Source organism: Homo sapiens, chromosome 4, assembly GCF_000001405.40.
Source record: "Homo sapiens chromosome 4, GRCh38.p14 Primary Assembly".
Taxonomy (NCBI): domain Eukaryota; kingdom Metazoa; phylum Chordata; class Mammalia; order Primates; family Hominidae; genus Homo; species Homo sapiens.
Genome location: NC_000004.12, coordinates 82,920,747 through 82,945,086, shown reverse-complemented (window position 1 = coordinate 82,945,086; position 24,340 = coordinate 82,920,747). Strand labels below are relative to the sequence as shown.

General features: G+C 37.6%; 1 protein-coding gene across 10 annotated transcripts in view; it reads left to right on the top strand.

Moving 5' to 3' along the window:
* Positions 1-20,484, top strand: part of LIN54 (lin-54 DREAM MuvB core complex component) — an 88,339-nt gene extending 67,855 nt beyond the window's left edge. For all 10 annotated transcript variants that reach the window (NR_110254.2, NR_110253.2, NM_001115007.3 and 7 more), the window contains 8 exon segments: positions 5,125-5,198; positions 5,351-5,548; positions 6,583-6,674; positions 7,789-7,860; positions 8,706-8,808; positions 8,969-9,106; positions 13,942-14,144; positions 16,784-20,484. Coding sequence is in view for 8 of the 10 variants with exons in the window: in NM_001115007.3 (NP_001108479.1) it covers positions 5,125-5,198; positions 5,351-5,548; positions 6,583-6,674; positions 7,789-7,860; positions 8,706-8,808; positions 8,969-9,106; positions 13,942-14,144; positions 16,784-16,985 (1,082 nt within the window). In the remaining 2 variants the exon portion in view is untranslated.
* The last annotated feature ends 3,856 nt before the right edge of the window (positions 20,485-24,340 follow it).

Genomic DNA, 24,340 nt, shown 5'->3' with positions numbered 1-24,340 from the left:
AGTTCGTGACCAGTCTGGCCAACATGGCGAAACCCCGTCTCTACTAAAAATACAAAAATTAGCTGGGTGTGATGGCGCGTGCCTGTGATCCCAGCTACCTAGGAGGCTGAGGCAGGAGAATCGCTTGAACCTGGGCAGCGGAGGTTGCCGTGAACCAAGATTGCGCCACTGCACTCCAGCCTGGGCGACAGAGCGAGACTCCATCTCAAAAAAAACAAAACACAACAAAAAAGAGATCAGAGGGTAGTCTGAAGGTCGTGAATTAGCTTGATTGATTGTTCACAGTTACAGTTGGAACTCCTTGTTCTACCTTTTTCCTCTTCTTACTGCTATACTTGAGTAGTCTAAAATTAAAAATTAAAAAAAAAATCAGAGATTTGGAGCTACCTGTTGCTGATAGGTGGTTCACCTGAGGGAACCTATAGAAGAATAAAACCTATTTATTTCTCTTTCAAATTACTGAAGGGAGAAAACAGTAAGCAGTATTTAGTATATATCTTATTAAATTAGTCATAGCAAGCAGTTATATTTTCTAATTCTTTTTAGAAAAGATTTTGGAATAAAATCATTATCATAATCTTAATGAGGGGAAAAATGAAAAAACCATATTGTTGACTAAGGGAGTCAAATTTTATATTCTCTCAATACTTAAACTTAGCAGGGTACTGAGAGAAGTGCTATAAGTCCAATCTACTTAGGTAGTGTGATGATGATGATAGAAAGCAGTCATTATATATAATTGGTTGTATTTTATGTGTGTGTTTGTATGCGTATAATAGTATGCTGAGAATCCATATAATGGATTAAACCTAATTAATGTTAACATTAATTTATTCATTAGCAAGAGTATGCCTTTAGTATAAGGAAGATCCAGGGAGAGTGGAGGAATGGGATGGACATTTCAAAATAGAGTATTGGCTGGGCATGGTGGTGCACACCTGTAATCCCAGCACTTTGGGAGGCTGAGGTGGGCGGATCACTTGAGGTTGGGAGTTTGAGACCAGCCCTGCCAACATGGTGAAACCCTGTCTCTACCGAAAAAATACAATAATTAGTTGGGCGTGGTGGTGCACACCTGTAATCCCAGCTACTTGGGAGGCTGAGGCAGGAGAATCACTTGAACCCGGGAGGCAGAGGTTGCAGTGAGCTGAGATCACACCACTGCACTCCAGCCTGGGCAACAGAGTGAGACTCTGTCTCAAAAAAAAAAAAAAAAAAAAAAAAATCAGTATTGACTGGTGCCTTCTTTTCCAGCTTTATGTCTGTCTTTCTGCCTGTCTCTACTTCTCTTTTTCTCCTTGCCACCTGGCAGTCCTTCACCACTCTTCTGCTTCCCTTCTGCTTCCTTTTTTGCTTTTCACCTTGAACACTGTCTCTCTGTTCTCCACTATATCTCTCTGCCTTCTTCACCTCACTCTATACCCTCTTCCCACCCAGCCACATACATATACGCCCATGTTATTTCCCTTATATCCATCTATATTTTTCTCTTTTTGTCTCTGTCTCCTGTCCCATAAAAGATCTGGATATATATAATATATATTATTTCACAGGAATAACAAGTTAAATACAATTTTTATTAGAGTTACACTAAATAGTTGCTCTAGTTCATCAAATATTAATGTCTCTTTATGAGGAATTTACTTAAATGCCAAAGGGGCTTATCTTGTACATTTTCCCCCGAAAGTTGCACAAGAACTAATGTTCAAAGGCTCCACCATGTTAATCGTTGGTACAGTGGTAGGCAGAATAGTAGAAGGACTCAGGAAAGTGCTTGGTTAGCCTTTTCAGAATACAACCTGTCATCTCGGTGAGGGAGGAAACCAATTTAAGAAGTTAAAAAGCCTCAAACACTTGCAGGTATGGTTTCTGAAGTTTGGAAGGAGGCTATTCTAAAGGATTGTTCAGAGTTCCTGCCAAAGACTAAAAACTACACAATTATGCCAGCTTCTATGAAAACTGAAGTAGTAGTTAGTAATGTGCGCTAAGGTAAGGAGGACAAGAAATGCAGATGGTTGACCTAGTTACATAACATCCCCTTCCCTAGGTATTTTATAGTATTCTGTTTTATGACCACTTGGTTTTATATTTTCTTCATTCCCCAGGCTTCAGTGAAAACTCAGTATGCAAGTGTCAAACCTATGTAAATTTGAGTTTCTAAGTTTTCTTTACCGGGCCAGGGAGGGAGGGAGGGTGTGTGTGTGTGTGTGTGTGTGTGTGTGTGTGCGCGCGCACACGCACACATTTGTGCATGTGTATGAGGAGAAGGCAGGGATAGTCCCCATTTAATGTGATGAAAGGCAGGTCACTCTCCTTCCCAGTTATTTCTCAGGACCACCAGGAAGTTTTTGGATTCCACTGGTCATTGCTCTCACTTCAGAATCACTGCACTGTGCTCATGGAACAGCGACTGTCATCTCTCCCAGGAGCAGGTGGTGGAGGGAGTCCACTCTCCTGTGTCCCAAGCAGGAATTCAGGCTCTCCTTTTAATTCCTTCTAGCATTGCTGAGACCAATCTACAATGGTTATTATAACCTTGCTAATGGTTCAGTATAATTGAGGAAAATTCAAACAGAACAGGAACAACTTCAAACTGGGTATCAGATGTCACACTGCTCTGGTATTTCATACAGGAAAAGAGTCTTACACTCTTTTTGTATAACAACCTTACTGAGATGTAATTCATGTATACCATAAAGTTCACCCTTTCAAAGCATACCATTCACTGGTTTTTAGTATATTCACAAAATTATGCAACCATCACCACTAATCATATATTCTCTCTAGACGTCTCCTGCTCTCCCTCCTTCACCCTAGTTTGTCACCTTGCTGCAGTGGGCTGCTGCCTTTTAAATCAGAGTGCCTACTCTAAGATTCTCTTCTAGGACTCTCAGCTTTTTTGTCTTTAGCCATCATCCTTCCAGTCCCCACCAAAAGCAAAAACAAAAAAAAACTGCTGATATCATAGTAGCCTTTCTATCTAAGGAAATTTATTCTTTTTCGTTTTGTTCAGAATTCTCTCAACCTCTCTTTCAGACCAGGCTCCAGGCCTTACTTTTACATCAGTGAAACCTGAAGAGATGTCATTTCTATCTTCTTAAATCTGCTTTTAACAGTGGAAATGGCAGTAGGCAGTTTTTAAAATTGCACTTCTTGTTGGTCCAAATGTATATGTCTAGTGCCAATGTCTTTCCTGAATTTCATCCCAGTATTTCTCCATGTCAAGTTTCATCCTCCCTTTAAAATAGCTCATCCTTGAGTTTTTAGTTCTAATAACTGTCATTTTCCTGGTCACTTGAAAGCTCTGCAGTGACTTACATTTTCTTCGCTTATACCTACAGTTCCTACCATTCAGTGGTTGGTAAGTCATGGTCCTTTCACCTACACCAGGTCTCTTGCATCTGCTCTCTCTTTTTTATTCCCACTGCTGTCACTCCAGATCACTCCAGATCAGACCCTCATTTTTTTGCACTCTTCTGACTTGTCTCTTGCAACTCCATTCTGTTTTATGCACTGCTGCCAAATACAATTAATTTTTCTTTTATTTCAATATAATTTCTGTATTTAAAAATCCCTAGAAACTTCTCATTGCGTACTGAATTAAAAATACAGATTAAATACAGAGTCCTACCCTAACATTCAAGGTCCTCCATAAATGTCTGCAATCTGCCTTTTTGCCTGTATTTGTCTGCGTTAATCCCAGGTATTAGCCAGACTGGTTTGTTCACCAACATTTGTAAATATGCTTTGCAGCTTCCCAAGATTAAGCTTCCACTTCTCATGCTTCCGTCTTTGTGTGAAATGCCCTTCTCCAGTCTATGTGCCCTCCATGCGGCCAGCCTATTGATTGGGGCCCATCTCAATACTGTGTCCTCCGTGTGCTTTTTCTATATTTCCATCCTCTGCCAACGATATATATATATATATATATATATATCCTCTTAACTCCCACAGCTCTTCATGTATCTTCTTTAATAATATTTATCTTATTTGGACACGTGCCTAATCTGCTGAACTAGAATATAATCTCCCTGACAGCAGAGGTCTAGTGCTTTAGTTTTCCTGAAACAATGGCTACAATGCCATTTATATAGTAGCAGCAGTTGTAACAACGATGATGGCAGCTAACATTTAGTGAGCATTTACTATTTGTAGGGCAGTGTTCTGATCAATTTTCAAGAATTAACATATACTTAACCCTTATATGCCATAAGGTAGATATTCCCCATATTGCAGATGAGGATACAGGCAAAGAGAGCTTAAGTGGTTAGAAAATGGCAGAACTGGGATTTAAATGCCCTGGGTCTTATGACTTTAGAGTCCATGTTCTTATCCTTTTTGCTGTGCTGCCTTTTAGTATGTATTCTGTAAATATTGAATTACACTGGCTGGGCACAGTGGCTTACGCCTATAATCCCAGCACTTTGGGTGGCCAAGGCGGGTGGATCACCTGAGGTCGGGAGTTCGAGACATTGGGTTCAGCCTGGCCAACATGGCAGAACCCAGTGTCTACTAAAAATACAAAAATTAGCTGGGCATGGTGGCACACACCTGTAACTTCGGGTACTTGGGAGGCTGAGGCACAAGAATCGCTTGAACCTGGGAGGCGGAGGTTGCAGTGAGCTGAGATTGCACCACTACACTCCAGCCTGGGTGACAGACAGAGTGAGTCTCCGTCTCAAAAAAAAACAAAAACCCAAGAATGATATATTCTCTGGTTTGAATAGAAAGAGCAATGAGAAATAGTAGTATAGAGTGCTGTTGTTACTCAAGCTTATGAATGACAGTTCTTTTATTTATACATTTCATTTGACTGGATTTAGTACTGAATGTATAAATCATCTGAATACAGATTGAAGTATTTTCATTTGAATGTCTTGAACCTACAAATATTCCCTCACAAAGTGGATAGACTGTAGCCACCTTAGATATAAGTTCTCTGGTAGATGGGGTAAGCAATTTTGAAAGGTAACTATCCTGATTAAAGATTGCTCAAATTAGGAATCAAATGGAATTCTTTAAGCTCTTTTATGAGAATAACTTGGGAGAGCTAAGTATTCTTAAGTGTTTTAAATACTATTTTCTGTAAATAACTTGTTCATCCTTCTTTTGTTTTTTAAAAAGCAAAGCCAGTGGTTGTTAATACAACCCCAGTGCGGATGTCAGTTCCAATTGTCTCAGCTCAGGCTGTCAAACAAGTAAGTATCACATAACTTCTTTCTCAGTCTTTCCCAAATAGACGATTTACTTTTTAAATAGAAAGTTAAGATTTAGGTGCAAGAGATTTATACTGAATTGAACAGCTGTAAAATTTATTTTGTGGTCATTGATATATGTCCCTTCTTTTTAGGTTGTTCCAAAACCAATCAATCCAACTTCACAAATAGTAACTACTAGCCAGCCACAGCAACGGCTTATCATGCCTGCCACACCACTGCCACAGATCCAGCCCAACCTCACTAACCTGCCACCAGGCACTGTCCTGGCACCAGCTCCGGGAACAGGGAATGTGGGTTATGCAGTGCTTCCAGCTCAGTATGTTACTCAGGTATGTGGAAAAAATGAAGTCATTGTATTGCAAAAGTGATAATGGGGTCCAAGATGTCTAGTGCTATCACAGAAGCTACTCAAACACATCTAACTCAGTATTGAAGTGGCACTTTCCAAAATCTTAAAATGTTAACCCAAACCTTTAAGTTTATTTCTATGTACTTTTAGCATTTAGAAATATATAACACAGGTCAGATATACAAGTCAGACAATTTGGAGCTGAGAGCAGCTTGGCAGGAGCGCAAGCCTGTGGCGATATGATAGAAAATAGACTGAAGTTAAAATCAGCAGAGTCCAAATGAATTTAGAAAAGACTGTGGCTGTTATAAAGCTCTTCCTCACACATAAATTTGATGCCACTGACTTGGAAAATAAGCCCAAGTTTATTTATTGGAAAATAAACTGTGAGATGCATTTCCAGGTGACATATCTTCAGCGATCTATCTACTCTTACTGGTCATCTTTAGAATGAAAGACGGGGAAACAAACCCACACGTGTACTTTTTAATGAAATACACTTTGGAACATGTTATGTGGCTATTGATAAAAAGAATAATGTTCAGTATTTTTGTCATAAGCATTTCTAATGTTTAGAAGTTGGTGTAAAATAGAAACTCAACTATTGTGCATGTAACTTCTCATTCTCTGTAATTTGTAGTGTGATAAATGATCAGTATAGTACCTATTTTATTTGTAAGTAGGCACATTGCATTTTTCTAGCCCAAACAAGTTATTACAGTACTTTGAGAGCATTCATCTAGCATTTCCTATCATTCCGACATACTTAACTCTTCTGTGAAATACTTTCTTTATATTTGTACTATGTAGTACTGTAAAATGTTCACATTATTTTCACCTATAGTATTGGTTTGAGTCTTTAAAAGAGCTCTGTGAAGTATGTGTTTGTGTGATATTCTCCATTGTGTTTTTCTTATCTTAATGGATGAATTTGTATTTCTTACTGATCATCATACCTGACAGTATTGTCCATTTTTGGAAATATGATCTAAAATTAATTTTCTTTACATGTAGCTACAGCAGTCTTCATATGTATCAATAGCAAGCAACTCTACCTTTACTGGAACATCTGGTATCCAGACCCAGGCACGGCTTCCATTCAATGGGTGAGTATTTTGAAAATAGGTACATAAGTTGTTAGATCAGCTTAAATGCAACAGTAAATATATATATTCCAAACTACATCCTCTTTTATTTTTTTCCCCTTAAAGCCATGTGAGCATGCCTCTAAAATACTTGTTGAAATATTTCAAACAGAAAAATTACAGAAATAGTCAATTCCCAAATACTCTATTCAGATTCACCAATTTCACTACACTAGTTTTATTATTCTCTTTCATTCTGAGTATGTTTCCAAAATGATGATGCTAACTATTTTTTATCTTTATTTTTCAAGACAAGGTCTTGCTCTGTTGCCCAGGCTGGAGTGCAGTGCTGTGATCTCAGCTCACTGCAACCTCCCAGGCTCAAGCAATCCTCCTGCCTCAGCCTCCTGAGTAGCTGGAACTCTATGCACATGCCACCATGCTCTCCTAATTTTTAAATTTTTTTGTAGAGATGCGGTCTCACTATATTGCCCAGGCTAATCTCCACCTCCTGGGCTCAAGTGATCCTCCTGGCTCAGTCTCCCAGAGTGCTGGGATTCCAGGCTTAAGCCACTGCACCTGCCCAACTATTTTTAAAATTATGTGAGGTCCTCATTTTTTGTTGATGTTTATTTGTTTATCTATTAATTACTGGCTTTTGCAATATCAGCTTAGAAGCCGTGCTTAATTACCCGGAATCAGTCCACATCCCACTTCCATTTCCTCCTCCACACACTCCTTTTCCTCACTGCTTTTTATAATTGAATCCCAAGAGTTTTGAGGCAATCTCAACTTTTGTTTTCTTAGAAGGGACAGTGTTTGTGGAGTGTTCTTTAGCAGCTATTGATAACTTCTTTTAAAAAAATTATTCCATACTTGTCTCTACCTCTTTCATGTTACAACTTGCCTTTGAACCTAGTGTAAATAGAACAACGTAGCAAACTTTTTATTTTAGATGGACACATTTAACATTGGTTAAAGCTTTATTTCTGGAGGGATTTATAGATTGGAGACTTCTCTAATTTTAAATTAGTTTTAGGTCTAATTTTTTAAATTTTAAATTAGTTGTAGCAACTAAATTAATTTTAGTTACTATTAATTGATTAAATGTATATCTTTTTTTCTATCTGTACAGCATAATCCCATCAGAGTCGGCCAGTCGGCCCCGAAAGCCCTGTAATTGTACAAAATCACTGTGTTTGAAATTGTAAGTGTTTTTGCAACTGTTTGCTTATTTAATGTAATTAGAAATGCACTTAAAAGTAAATGGAGTTAACTAAAAATTTTTAGCAGACCAAAGCTCATAAGTCTAAGTAATTTAAATAAACATACAAATGAATGTTTGAACATATATGGCAGTGTAAAAATATTATTTCATTCATCTAGAAAGAAATATTTAGAGTCCTTACCATACATGAATCACTGGAGTAGGGGTTAGGGACATAGCAGCATGAGACAGACATAGCTTCTGCCCTTAATAATAATGTTTGATCTTATTTATGACTTTTGTATTTGGTCTCCTAAGTGATGATACTCTAGGTAGTTTTAAAAGTCACTGAATGGTTAATTTGCTTATTAGCATTAAAAAGACTTGACATGAAATAGTTAAATGAAAAGCATTGGTCTTATTGGGGCATAGAATCCAAAGTACTATTACTATAACTCAGATGAGCCAGTTCAACTATTAGAATATAGCTAGTGTTTTTCCTTTTTCAGAATTTTGAAATGCCTTACTTTGGGGGCACATAAAATTTATATGTGTGACATATAATTTATATAATTTATATGTGTGACAGCTCTTGTGTGACAGCTGTTATTGGTTGGACTAAGTTTTTAGGCCACATTTCTAGTACTTGGTGATTTAAACTTTGAGCCTTAGTATGTGGTTGACAATATGTGTTGTTAACTCTTTAACTGGGTAGCTGAGTAGATTTCTGAGATGCTTTACCACATATGTAGTATGTGTACAATATATATACAATGTATGCATAATCAGATAATTAGTTTTCCTTAATAATGACTTTTTACCTTATACTGACTTTTACCTTTCAGGTATTGTGATTGCTTTGCAAATGGTGAATTTTGCAACAACTGCAATTGTACTAATTGTTACAACAATTTGGAACATGAAAATGAAAGGCAAAAAGCAATAAAGGTGATTATTTTTTATTTCATTTAACTGACAGAAATATCCAGTTTCATCAGTTTTATAAAACTCAATTGTCTTGCAAAGAAACGTTATCAATTCCTTTTGCAGTGTTTAAATTTCATCTACTGTGATTTAACTCTAACTGATATTTGATCTGTTTTGCTAGGCATGCCTTGACAGAAATCCAGAAGCCTTTAAGCCTAAGATAGGGAAAGGAAAGGAGGGAGAATCTGATCGACGTCATAGCAAAGGGTGTAATTGCAAACGATCAGGATGTCTTAAAAACTACTGTGAATGCTATGAGGTGAGATGCTGGGTGCGGAAAATAATATCTTTTAAAAACAGTTTTAGAAAGGACCTACTACAAAAATTTACTTGAAAATTGGGAAATCACCTTGCTATTGCAATTTGAAAATATGCACAGTTGGTGCAAAGGCCCTTGTTTTAGGAAGGCCTTCGAGCCTCTGTAGCAGGGCTTCGGAGGAATACCTTGGGTTTATTATTACAGCTTGGGGTCTTACTGGGTGATTTACCATAACTTCTTGGTCATTATGCTCAGAAAGTATGCAGATCAGAACACCAATATATTGATTTTCAATAAAAATAATATCAAAGTGGATTGGAAACTCTCCAGCAGTGATTCTCACCTGAGGTGCAGTTCTACTTACTGTTCTTCACAGGCTTCTTAGAAATATATGGCCGGGTGCGGTGGCTCACACCTGTAATCCCAGCACTTTGGGAGGCAGAGGCGGGCAGATCACTTGAGGTCAGGAGTTCGAGACCTGCCTGGTCAACATGGTGAAACCCCGTCTGTACTAAAATACAAAAATTAGCCGGGCATGGTGGCAGGTGCCTGTAATCCCAGCTACTCGGGAGGCTGAGGCACGAGAATCGCTTGAACCCAGGAGGTGGAGATTGCAGTGAGCCGAGATCATGGCACTGCACTCCAGCTTGGGCAACAGAGCAAGACTCTGTCTCAAATATATAAATATATATTATAAATATATAAATATATATATATATATGGATACAAAATAGCCTGCATCCCAAGGTACAGTCTGGAAATTAAAGGATTATCTTGACCAAAATGCTGGTTATGCCCACTCAAAGAGCACACTGCTCTGCGGAAAACCAAAGTATGTTAAGTTTGCTTTGTGAGCATAAAAATAGGAAAGGGGGATCTGGCATTCTGCTGGATGAGGTTACTGGTCACGGTAGGCAATTGTCTCCATTTTCACTGTTTTGTTGTTCCACTGAGCTGGTTATTTTTACTTATGGGTCAGGCGTCTTCTCTGGAAGATGTAGTTGAAACTCTGCTCTGACAAATGCCATATAAATCTTCCCCTTCTTGCTTTAGACACAGTACTATATAGTTTTATTTTAGAAGCTTATGTGTAACAATCTAGTGATTGAGATTAACCCTAGATTACCATAATTGGTTTCTTGGTATGCCTGAAACTCTTTACTGACAGTCTTTTGGGTGGTTGAGTTATTCCTCTTCTTGGCTCTTCTCATACTCTCATATATTTTCATTCTTTCTTATTCTCAGAGAATTAATTAATTAATTAGTTTATTTATTTATTGGCAGAAAGCCTAGCTTTGCACTTGCTGAAGGTTTGCCCTGCCACAGGAGCATGTCCTCCAGTTCAGTGCCCTCTCCCATACAGCATGTGTCATATGAAAGATTTTGTGTATTGCATTCTCTGTGTAATGAATTCTTTCCTAATCTACTTATTTACAAAGTCAAATACTCCTCTCAGGAAGTAAAGTAGAATAGGGAATAGGAGAGTAACATCTTGTGAGTTCTGCAGATGATATGAATGAAAATTGCATAAAGAGACAAGTTTTTTGTTGTTGTTGTTGTTGTTATTTTGTTTTTGAGACGGAGTCTCGCCCTGTCGCCCAGGCTGGAGTGCAGTGGTGCGATCTTGGCTCACTGTAATATCCGTCTCCTGGGTTCAAGCGATTCTCCTGCCTCAGCTTCCCAAGTAGGTGGGATTACAGGCACCTGCCACCATGCCCAGGTAATTTTTGTATTTTTTGTTTTTAGTAGAGACAGGGTTTCACCACGTTGGCCCGGTTGCTCTCAAACTCAAGTGATCCGCCCACCCATCAGCCTCCCAAAATGTTGGGATTACAGGCATGAGCCACCGTCGCAAGTTGATTTTTTAAACTGTCTTAACATCTCAAAATCCAACAAGCCAGTTTTCATCCAGTGTTGGAATCTTTTTTAGTCTTTCTTCTTTTGAATACCTGATGAAATAGCCGGCTTGCGTTTAGAAGCCATATCATACAAAAATTGTCACGAATATGTAAAAATTAACACTTCTTTTCAGAACATGGAAATTTATGTAAAGTTGGATCAGAAGGGTAAAGCGACCCTTTCATGTATATGGCATTGAAAAATCAATACATGCTGGGCATATGAAATTCAGACATATAGGAACTAACCATTTAATTGAACTGGTTAACAACCTGTGAATTAATAGAAGTAGAAAAGGTACTGGACTGGTTTAAAAGTGTTAGAAGAGACAGCCCTACCCTACCTATTCTAATGAAATTTTGTCGGGACAGATACACTGTCTAGTAACAAATTTATCATTCCAAAAGTTATGTACCAAAAAATGGAGAAACTTAGAATATACTAAACTATGAATAGCAGTGGCTAGTTGGCTGTAAATTAGCTGTGGGCTTATCTGACATTTTGTGTTGAACTGTTCTTTTGACACCTTGTTCTTCAGCTGAATTGGCTTTTTAATCCTGTTGGTTTGCATCTGGACAACACATTCATGTGTCCTTTCAATGCCTATAGGCTTGTTGATTGGATGAATGGCTACCCACCTTATTTCATGGCTGTGTCTTTTCTTGTGACCATTTTCCTCCCCTCCACATCTTTTTTTTTTTTGGTATAGGGGAAGTTAAATTCGCCAAGCTAAATGTCATTGTAATTTCTCCATCTGAGCTCCGGTTAGACACTATTAATGTCTTTCCTATGGTTCTTAAAATATAAAGATAATTTTTAAAAAACAAATATATATATATATATAAAATCTAAATTACCATTATTGGTATGTTTTCCCCACTCTGAGGTCAGGAATTTTCTCTCGTCATCACTAGATGCTTATTAAGTATTGCTTTAGTTAGATTCCCATTCAGGCTCACAGTAACCCAGTTAACACAAACTTACATCCATTTTTTCCTTTGGTAAGTGGAATTTATTGGTGTCTTATAAGAAAGGAGCAGAGTAAATGTGTTTATAATGCAGCCCGTTTATCTTGCTAGGTGCTATAGAGAGAAAGGACAGTTTTATTTATTTATATAGACATGGGTTCATTGAAGAAAACACAGCTAACAAAAACATACTCAAATTCGTTAGAAATCAGGGAAATATACATTAAAGAACAGTGAAATCTCACTTTATCATCCCCACCATCAGATTATATATATATATATTTTTTTGAGATGGTGTTTCATTCTTATTGCCTAGGCTGGAGTGCAATCGCGTGATCGCGGCTCACTGCAACCTCCGCCTCCCGGGTTCAAGCGATTCTCCTGCCTCAGCCTCTCGAGTAGCTGAGATTACAGGCATGTGCCACCATGCCTGGCTAATTTTTTTTTTTTTTTTTTAAAGAGAGATGGGGTTTCTCCATGTTGGTCAGGCTGGTCTTGAACTCCGGACCTCAGGTGATCCTCCCACCTCGGCCTCCCAAAGTGCTGGGATTTCAGGCGTGAGCCACCGCGCCTGGCATAAAATGTTAAAAGGAATTATAATATTCATTGTTGGAGGGAATGTGGGAAAGCCTTCCTTTACACATTGCTGATGAGATGTGAGGTATTACAGCCTTTTGAAAAAGCAATCTGGCTACATCTCTTAAAATTCAAATACACAGGCCAGGCGCGGTGGCTCACATCTGTAATCCCAGCACTTTGGGAGGCCGAGGCGGGTGAATCACGAGGTCAGGAGGTCGGGACCATCCTGGCTAACACGGTGAAACCCCGTCTCTACTAAAAATACAAAAAAAATTAGCCGGGCGTGGTGGCGGGTGCCTGTAGTCCCAGCTACTCGGGAGGCTGAGGCAAGAGAATGGCGTGAACCTGGGAGGCGGAGCTTGCAGTGAGCTGAGATCGCGCCACTGCACTCCAGCCTGGGAGACAGAGCGAGACTCCATCTCAAAAAAAAAAAAAAAAAAAATTAAAATACACAGACCTGTTAACCAGTGAGCCCAATTCTAGAAATCTAACTCAGAGAAATAAAAAGGCATAATGTATAACAAAAAAGTCTTTTTATGCATCATTTGTGGTACCCAAGAACTGGAAACAAAAATAAACACCCATCAATAGGGAAATGAATGCCCAATAAAATTGACACATCATACCAGGGATTTACACCTAGCTGTTAAATAGAATGAATTCAAGCTATGCCAGATGACTTTGGAGGGATTCCATGAGTTGTAAGAAAAGCAAGATGCAGAAAAGCAGATAATATGATTTTGAAAAACTAAAAAATGAAAGTTCTATATTTGTATATACATAAGGTCTAGGATTTTATATATACTTACATTTGACATATTTTTACATGAAAATATATATTTATATGAAATGTAAAATACACACTAGTTTCATATGGGTTATTGAAGGGTTTGGGGAATCTGAAGTCCCTCCCGAACTCCCTCTTCAGATTAAAAATAGCATAATAGAATAATAAAAATGGCATCTGTGAAATCCCTTTAATGTGAAATTGTATACATATGCATAAATGGGAGGTCATCTATATGTTAATGATGATTTGATTGAGGTGGCTGGATTCTGGATGACCTTTATTTTTGATATTTTAGGATATCATTCATGTTTATGAAAAACATGTGTAACTCATATCTGAAGAAAATCTATATTCATAGTGGGGGAAAACTGACATGGAAGGACACAGCCACAAACGTTGTACAGCCACTGTCAGACTTAAGAATACCTAACCTAGCTAGCCACATGTGTAGTTACTGTTTGTCAGCCAGAGATACTTCCATCTAATCTTATTATCAGTTGACCAGGTAATGCTATTAGCTGTTGATTTGATTGTGGCATCTACTTATAGTAATGTATTTTGGTTTTGATTTGGAAACTTTTCTTATGTAAATCTTTTAGGCAAAAATAATGTGTTCCTCAATATGCAAATGTATTGGCTGTAAGAATTTTGAAGAAAGCCCGGAAAGGAAGACATTGATGCATTTGGCAGATGCAGCTGAAGTAAGGGTACAGCAACAAACAGCAGCCAAGACGAAGTTATCCTCTCAAATTTCAGACTTGCTTACTAGGCCAACACCAGCTTTAAATAGTGGAGGCGGAAAGTAAGTCAGTATTTTAATCTTTTTATAGTACTTCCCAAATACTTTTGGTAAAGTTTCTTTTCAGGGGGCAAAGTTGAGTTTATATTTTTGGTTGTTGCAAACCTGATTTTTGTGTTTTCTTTCCATCTTTAGTTACTTGTAAAGGAATTTAAAGGTAACAGAAACCACTGTCAGATTATTGTGCAGTTCGAAAATGCACAGTAATGATTTAGTCCACTGTGCTTAATTTCTGTCTACTAAGATGAGGTAATTATGTAATTTGAGGAACCCCAAAGAAAAGCAGATGTTCATATGTCTCGCTGAACGTGTAATTATGTTTTTGCATTTTCCTACCTTCTCTTGCCTTTTCCATTTCTTGGAGCACTTTTCCCATCCTATTGGACCACCCATCACACTGTAATAGTGCAGCTCCGTATTGTTATCTCTTTCATCTGCTGAGCTCTGGAGTAGAAAAGCCTGACCTCTAAAGTCAGGTAGACTTGAGTTTATACTATCTGTGCTACTTAGTAGTTTGTGAATCTCTTTGAGCCTCAGTTTTCTTATCCTTAAAATAGCCTATACCAGGTGGCTGTGAGGAATAAGGCATGTCTATAATATCTCCAGTGTTTGTCAAGACCTGATAAAACATAGTTTGTGATTTGGACTGGACTGGACTGGTATTAGAAAGTTTGTTAGAGGTTAATCTGAGGAATTATTAAATGGAATGAGCCTTGCAAATGGCATATTATTTAAAATGCCTAAGTAGGCCAGGCACAGTGGCTCACGCCTATAATCCCAGCACTTTGGGAGGCCAAGGTGGGCAGATCACCTGAGGTCAGGAGTTTGAGACTAGCCTGGCCAACATGGTGAAACCCCATCTCTACTAAAAATACAAAAAATTAGCTGGGCATGGTGGTGTGCGCCTGTAATCCCAGCTACTTGGGAGGCTGACGCAGGAGAATCGCTTGAGCCTGGGAGGCAGAGGTTGCAGTGAGCCAAGATCACGCAATTGCACTCCAGCTTGGGCAACAAGAGCAAACTCCGTCTCAAAAATAAAATGCCTAAACTGAAAATGAGATCCAGTGCTTATAAAAATAAGGCTTTTTTGTACAAAATATTTAAGATATTAGTTTTGGTTTTTTGTTTTGTTTTCTTTTTGAGATAGAGTCTCACTCTGTTGCCCAGGCTGGTGTGCAGTGTCATGATCTCAGCTCACTGCAATCTCCGCCTCCTGGGTTTAAGCAATTCTCCTGCCTCAGCCTCCTAAGTAGCTGGGATTACAGGCATACACCACGACGCCCAGCTAAATTTATGTATTTTTGGTAGAGATGAGGTCTCACTATGTTGGCCAGCCTGGTCTTGAACGCCTGACCTCAGGTGATCTGCCCATCTCAGTCTCCCAAAGTGCTGGGATTACAGGCATGAGCTACCATGCCTGGCCTTAAGATATTAGTTCTAAAGAACTCTTGACTGGAATATAAACAGCAAATGGTTTTTGACTGAATAAAGTGGAAGTGGTCAGGCACCTTAATAAGACTTATAACCTGGGATTCTTTCTGGTCTTTAGAGTATTGAATCTAATCTCCACATGGAGATTAAAGATACTGCTACAGTAAAATATTTATAATTAATTTTTAAAATTGGGAAGATGTTAACAATATGAAAACAAAATTATAAAATTATAATTATAATCAAAATTACATATTAAAAACTTGTATAAAAAAAGTTATGCTAGCATGTTAACAAGCTTGTTTCAAGTGACCAAAACCTTAAATTAATATTTTCTAGTTTAAAGTGCTTGTTTGTATGTTAAAGATTCCTATACAGCTGCATGGCAGCCTGAATTCTCAATTACCCTCTCTTGCCATAGTGAGCTTTAATTTCAGACTTCATTATTTAGTATACTTCTGTTAGTGACCGCTTACTCACAGGTTGTTGAGTTAGTGGTTTAGATTATGTTGCTTGACTTAATCTGTCACAGGCTTTAAGACTTGAGTTGGCTGCAAATATAGCAAGCCTCACGATGGGTTGCTCCAATTTAATACTCAATAGCTCAGGTCTTTATGAATGCAACTCTGTGTACAGAACATTTGGTTTCGCCATTTTGTTTTGTTGTGCTAGAACGATGCAGAATTTTGGAATGTTTTCTACAAACAGTATCAGTGACTATGGTAAAGTGCTTTATTTTTCATTTTGCCGAAGAGATAGTGCTGTCAATTCCCAGTATTATTCATTCATTCAGCAACTATTCATGTAGCGTCTCTATGTCATGCACTATTCTAGGCACTGGAGCAACAGCAGTAAATAAGAATTGAACTTACAGAGCGTACATTCATGATTTAGGAGGATTTTAGTTAAAGAAATTCTAGTCTTCGTGTAGACTATTATCTTTTAGTTAACCACATAACCTTGCCTAGGTAATAAGTAACGTGTTTTATGTTAAATTTCCTGAACAATATTCTTACAATATGTGAATAAAACCAAATTTAACTTTTTAAAGCCCTTTTTAGGATGTGCTTGTGCTCACTGTGTAAATTGTGATGCTCATCCTGCTGGTGAATTGTGAAAGTGTCAGTAGAGATTTCCAGATGAAAGAATGTTATCCACTTTTGTTGTTATTTAACACCACCATCATCTTTCTCTTTCAAAAATCATTTCAGATTGCCATTTACATTTGTAACTAAGGAAGTAGCTGAAGCCACATGTAATTGCCTCCTTGCCCAGGCAGAGCAGGCAGACAAGAAGGGAAAATCAAAGGCAGCAGCGGAACGGATGATACTTGAGGAATTCGGACGATGTTTGATGAGTGTCATCAACTCTGCAGGAAAGGCAAAAAGTGACCCTTGTGCCATGAATTGCTAACTCTTGCACAAAAGACTGATAAATGGAACTGTACAGAAAATTTAAGGTGCAGGGACACTTGATTTTCTGGAAGAAAAACAATTACTGTATTTTAATTCAGTCCTTGTTTTAAAAGACCTGAAATTATAATACTGAAGGAGAAGAAATTTTAAATGAGGAAATTAGTACATTTTAAATCTTAGTTAAATCTGCTTATGCCCCTTCTAAATTGAATTTTTCTTTATTATATAGATTTTTTAATTTGCTTGGGTTTCTTAAGAATTAGATGTTCTCTTTCTGATACCTTTGACAAAAAATGTTTATAAATTCATATAATTTATAATGTATGGTGTTGTATGACTTTGTTAATAGAAAAGCCAAAGCAGCAGTGGTTAGCACCCATTCTTTGGGACTTGATCTAGAATATCTGCAGACAGAATGTTACATAAACAAATTCTTATGAAACACATTCAAATGACATTTTGTATTTAGAAAAGGACTATCTTTTAAAGAAAAAGCAGCCTTTTAGGGCCGATTCTGGAATAATATCCTGTTGTCACTTTGGGAATGTCAGAAGGGGAAACAATCCCCAGGCACACTAAAAATTTTTTAAAGTTATTTAAAAAAACATATAAAATATTAAAGGACAGTAAATCTCAGAGGATGGGCAATGTGTTTCTATAATAAGGAAAGGCTAACAGATGCTCTGGGCTGTCTCCATTTTCTTTCAAAGAGGTGGTATGTATTTGAAGTAATAAATTGTCAAAGTGATTACTGGGTACTATTAAAATGATAGGTGGATATAAATGGAAGTAAACATTATGTAGTGATAATATAGAACCTCACATAGTAATCAAGTATAAAATTTGGCATGGGTGGAGAAACAAAGAATAGGGAAGCTGCAAAAGATGAATTTAGAGAAGTTTTCATCTATACAATCAATTATTTTTACAGACTTTTTTTTTTTTTTTTTTGAGACGGAGTCTCGCTGTGTAGCCCAGGCTGGAGTGCAATGGTGAGATCTCAGCTCACTGCAACGCCTCTGCCTCCCAGGTTCAAGCGATTCTCCTGCCTCAGCCTCCCGTGTAGCTGGGACTACAGGTGCATGCCACCATGCCCGGCTCATTTTTTGTATTTTTAGTAGAGACGGGGTTTCACCGTGTTAGCCAGGATGGTCTCGATCTCCTGACCTCGTGATTCGCCCGCCTCGGCCTCCCAAAGTGCTGGGATTACAGGCATAAGCCGCCGTGCCAGGCCCTTTTTATAGACTTTTGAACTAAGAGGTTTCAAACCAAATCGCAACTCTTACTTGATTTACAGAAATGGGCCTCCTAACAAAATTTTCAAAATTGTGGTGGGATTTCTTTTTATAAGGGAAGTTTAATATGGCATTATTTTCAGCCAGTGATTTGGAAGGTCTGTTTTCCTATAATTACTAAAATAACCTAAATCATTTTCAGTATTCAAAAACTCTATGAATTTAAGAGCCTGTTGTGACAGGACTCTTGATTTTATGACAAGAAAAAACCATGTTGGAATTCAGGCATTTTGTTAGGTACCTTAATCATCAGTAATTAGTATATGATTATTTCATTTCCTACAAGGACTCTATAGTTGTATGTATTAAGTGTGTATATATGTTCATATGAACATGCAAGATATAGGCAATAGAAATTAAGTAATCCAAAAGAGGATTCCGTTATTCACTAAAGTATCTTCCTTTTAAATTTGGATTTATAAAATCATAGTGCAGTAACTTTAAATGTAGATAGTTCAAACATTCTTAGCACCTCAATCTAGTATGTTTAATTAAAATTTGTATAAATGTAAATTAGTGTAAGAGGGTAAAATAATAATCAAGTTATTTTTCAAAAGATTGCAATAAGTTTTTGGTCTAAACTTAAACTTTGTTCATTTTGTACATACTCTGTGTTAATTCTAATTGCACCTTTGTGATGTGTATTTATATACAGTGTGCAGAAAATGTTCGTGAAATTTTGATTACAATTGTAGATTATGTATGATGGCATTGCTTACGAATGTTTTGCTTGTAAAAAAATTTCAAGGTGCAATCAAATGCTACTAGTTTTTCTGATTTTCAAAAATCTATCTATCTAAAATATTAAGCCTTTTCCTTCCTGTGTAGTACTTACTAAATAACTTTTTGTATTCAGGCATTTGCATCAAATTGCTGAACAAGATGAATAGCCACATTAATTCAATGATTTTAAAAGACTATTTGGGGAGGGTTGGGTATATAATTTTTTAGCTCTATTTACATCCCAAAGTAGAAAGATTAAATTTATATTTACTAGAGCTATTCAAAGAATACACTTTTCTATATTGTAAAAACAGGACAGCAAAGTAAATCATACAGAAAATAAACATTTATACTATTCTGTAAAAAAGGTTTTGCATTTTTTCTTTAGTATAATAACACCACTTTATTAACCATTTAATATGCAAAAAACCTTTTAAATTATCTGAAGTAAATTTGACATTACTTCTGAAAACACACAACTAAAAAATTCTATCATTTTGCTCAGTTATTACTAACATAAATTGCTTTGAAATGAGAATATGTCTTCTCTTTTTTTCCCCACTGTTTCTTTTAAGAGCAGAAACTCAGCCGGGCATGGTGGCTCACGCCTGTAATTCCAGCACTTTGGGAGGTCAAGGCGGGTGAATCACTTGAGTCCAGGAGTTCTAGACCAGCCCAGGCTACATGGTGAAACCCTGTCTCTACTAAAAATATAAAAAAATTCACTGCGTGTGGTGGCGCACACCTGCAGTCCTCGCTACTTTGAAGGCCTGAGCCTGCAGAGGTTGAGGCTGTAGTGAGTCAAAATTACACCACTGCACTCCAGCCTGGCAATCAGAGTGAGACCTTGTCTCAAAAACAAAAATACCTAGAAAATCAATCTACTCTGTCTTTTAATGTGAAATGTTCTTATGATAGCTATCTTTCTTAGTTTCCTTTTTTTCTGAAGCACTAAACACAACCTGTAGGTCTTATCTCTGGGGTCTGGGAAACAGAACCTTAATGTTACAGGTACAAAAGCAAACAGAGTGATTAGTTCCCCATTTTCTGGTAGTGAACAACTGACATTTTTTCAATCTTATGTAAAATGTGAATAAAAATAATTTTAGAAAAGTTATCTATTTTTATTGTTCTGTAACACAAATAGTTAAGAAAATGAATACTTGTTATGTAAATGAAGCTTCACAGCAGGACCTCCGGCCATAACTTTGATCATGTTGTATCTCTTAAGCATTTTATATAGGAATTCTGGTGTGGCTACCCAAAGCAGAAGGGAAGGCAATCAACTAAAAATCCCTTTCTATTGGAGTTATTTTCATCATGTAAATTACTTCAGGCTTTTCTTGTTAGGGCTTCTTGAATGCACATTTTGTCATTATCTGTATACCAAAGGTGAGCTTTTTTTTTTAATCCATGTGATTTTATGAGTTGAAAGCTATAAGGTTTTTTTTAATTAAAAATTTCCTTCTAAATGGCAAATTTTGTGACAGCATTTAAGACACTCAGTTTCTATTCAAAAGCAATAAGAAAACAAGTATGTTTAGGGTTATGTTTATTATAAGGTCACTGGGACTTTATAAAACTGTCATCTATCATACTGGCATATGAAATCTGGTCATAGTATTATAAAAAGAATACATCATGACCAAGTAGGGTTTATCCTGGGAATAAAAGTTGATCCAATGTTTTAAAAAAAACATAGTTCACTGTATCAGCATACAAATAAGAAAAGCTAAATGATCATCTCAAAAGTTGCAGAAAATGACTGTGGATATAGGTAAAACTGCTAAATTATATTTTCTTGTTTGTTTCTTGAGATGGAGTCTCACTCTGTTGCCCAGGCTAGAGTGCAGTGGTGCGATCTCAGCTCACTGCACCCTCTGCCTCCTGGTTCAAGCAATTCTCATGTCTCAGTCTCCCGAGTAGCTGGGGTTACAGGCATGCGCCACCAAGCCTGGCTAATTTTGTATTTTTAGTAGTGATGGGGTTTCACCACATTGGTCAAGCTAGTCTCCAACTCCTGACCTCAGGTGATCCACCCGCCTTGGCCTCCCAAAGTGCTGGGATTACAGGCGTGAGCCACCGCGCCCGGCCACTATATGCTTATTTAAGAGGGTAAATATTATGGTTATGTGAATTTTATCTCAGAAATTTTTTTACCCAAAAGGTGCAGAAAAACATATCTGGTAAAATTCAGCCACATATGATTCAATAAACAAAAAAATAAAGTCTTCAGAGAACTAAGACTAAACCTGATAAAGACCATTTACAAAAAAAGCCTACAGCTAACATACACATAGTGAAGAATGCTTTCCTTTAAGACTGGGAGCAAGGCATTCTTATTCAACAATGTAGCTCACTGTGCAATAAGGCAGGTGGGAAAAAGGCCCACAGATTGGAAATAAATAAATAAGACTACTTGATGATATGAATGCCTACATAGAAAAATCAAAGAATCTCAAAACTACTAGAATAACTGAATTTAGCAAAATTAGTATGCAAAAGTTGACTGTACTTCTATGTAGTAGCAATGAATGTTTAGAAACTGAGATTTTTAAATCACCACTTACAGATTTCAGAAAACATGAAATCTAACAAAGATATGTAAGATCTGTGCTGAAAAGTAAAAAACTGATAAAATCAAAGAACCTAAAAAAAAGAAGATAGCCCATGTTTCATGGATTAGAAGATTCTATATTATTAAGATGTCAATTGTCTCCACATTGATCTATAGATTCAACACAACTTCAGTCAAAATCCCAGCAGGAATTTTTATAGAAATCAACAAGCTGATGATAAAACTTATATGGAAAGGGGCAACCAGAACAGCCAAAACATTTTTGAAAAAAGAACAAAGTTGGAGAACTCCCACCTAATTTCAAGACAGATAAAACTAGAGTAATTAAGACTGGTAGTGGATAGATCCTATTTATCAGTGGAAGACAATAGAGACCCCATATATATAGTTGGTTTTTTATCATTGTATGAAAGTAGTTCAATGGGGATAGTTTTTTAAACAAATGGGGCTGGCATATCCATATGTAAAAATATGAACTTCATGGCTGGGTGTGGTGGCTCATTCCTGTAATCCCAGCACTTTGGAAGGCTGAGGCGGGTGGATCACTTAAGGTCAGGAGTTCAGACCATCCTGGCCAACAAGGCAAAACCCTAACTACTAAAAACACAAAAATTAGTCGTGCGTGGTAGCACACACTTGTAGTCAGCTACTCAGGAGGCAAAGGAATCACTGGAACCCGGGAGGTGGAGTTGCAGTGAGCCAAGATTGTGTCACTGCACTCTCCAGCCTGAGCAAAAGAGCGAGACTCAGTCTCAAAAAAAAAAAAAAAAAAAAAAAAAAAAAAAAAAAAAAAGGACCTCAACTCATATACCAAAGTTAACTGAGAATGAATCACAGCTTACATCCCAGAAAGAAAAAAATAGAAAAACTGGACTTATCAAAATTAATTAACATCTGCTTTTCAAAAGACAGTTAATAAAAAAAGCCACAGACTGAGAAAAACATAATTGCAAAACACATCTGATAATGCACTTATATCCAGAATATGTAACTAATGCTCAGTAAGAAAAGAGCCAATCTTCCAAAATATGAACAAAAGACTTGAACAGACATTTCACCTAAGAAGATACACGATGGCAAATAAGCATATGAAAAGGTGCTCCACATCATTGGTTATTAGGAAAATGCAAGTGTAAACTACAATGAAATAGCACTAGACACCTCTTAGAATGGCTACTTGAAAAAAGACCAAAATCCTGACAATACCAAGTGCTAAGAAAGAAGTACAGCAACGGGAACATTGATATATTGCTGGCCAGAATGCAAAACAATAGTCACTTTGGAAGTTTTGGCAGTTTGTTATAAGGTTAAACATACCCATCTTGTGGTTATAGCACATTTTTTTGTTTTCATTAATCAGTCAATGGACATTTAGGCTTTTTCTCCACTTTTTGGCTATTATCAATGAAGTTCATGTACACATTTTTGTGTGGACATTTTCATTTCTCTTGGGTATATGCCTAGGAGTACAATTTGCTAGGTCATAGGTAACTCTAAGCTTTTGAGGAACTGCCAGGCTATTTTCCAAAGCTGCTGCACTAGCTGGACTATTTTACATTCTCACCAACAAAAGTGTATGAGGGTTCTAATTTCTCCACATTCTTGCCAATACTATGTCTTTCCTTTTTTTTCTTTCAGAGATGGGGGGGTCTCACTGTTTATTATCCAGGCTTGTTTTGAACTCCTGGGTTGAAGCAATCCTCCTGCCTCGGCTTCCCAAAATGCTGGGAGTTGAGGCATGAACTACTGTGCCTGGCCATGTCTTATTTATTTTTTTTTGAGACGGAATTTTGCTCCTGTTGCCCAGGCTGGAATGCAGTGGCAAGATCTCAGCTCACTGCAACCTCCGCCTCCCGGGTTCAAGCGATTCTCCTGCCTCAGCCTCCTGAGTAGCTGGATTACAGGCACGTGCAACCACACCCAGCTAATTTTTTGTATTTTTAGTAGAGACGGGGTTTCCTCATGTTGCCAGGCTGATCTCAAACTCCTGACCTCAGGTGATCCACCCGCCTCGGCCTCGCAAAGTGCAGGGATTACAGGCATGAGCCACCGTGCCCGGCCTCCATGTCTTCTTTATAATAGCTGTCCTAACAGGTGTGATGTGATGTTTCATTGTCATTGATTGGCATTTTCTGGAGAGCTGACGTGAACATATATTTATGTATTTTATGGCCTTCTGTATAACTCATTTGGAGAAAAGTCTATTCATATTCTTTACCCATTTAAAAATTTTGGTTATTTGTCGTTTTATTATTGAGTTATAGGAATTCTTTGTAGATTCTACATATAATAACTTAATTAGATAAATGATTTGCAAACATTTTTTTCCATTCAATGGGTTGTCTTTCACTTTCTTGATGGTATCCCTTCAAAGCACAAGTTAATTTTGATGAAGTCCAATTATTTTCCTTTGCTGTGCTTTAAGTGTCTTAAGAAACCACCACCTGGCCAGGCACAGTGGCTCACACCTGTAATCCCAGCACTTTGGAGGCCGAGGCGGGTGCATCATGAGGTCAGGAGTTCCAGACTGGCCTGGCCAACACAGTGAAATCCTGTCTCTACTAAAAATACAAAAATTAGCCAGGCATGGTGGTGCGTGCCTGTAGTCCCAGCTACTCGAGAGGCTGAGGCAGGAGAATCGCTTGAACCCAGGAGGTGCAGGTTGTGGTGACCCAAGATCACACCACTGCACTCTAGCCTGGGCAACAGAGCGAGACTCTGTCTCAAAAAAAAAAAGAAAGAAAGAAAAAAAGAAAA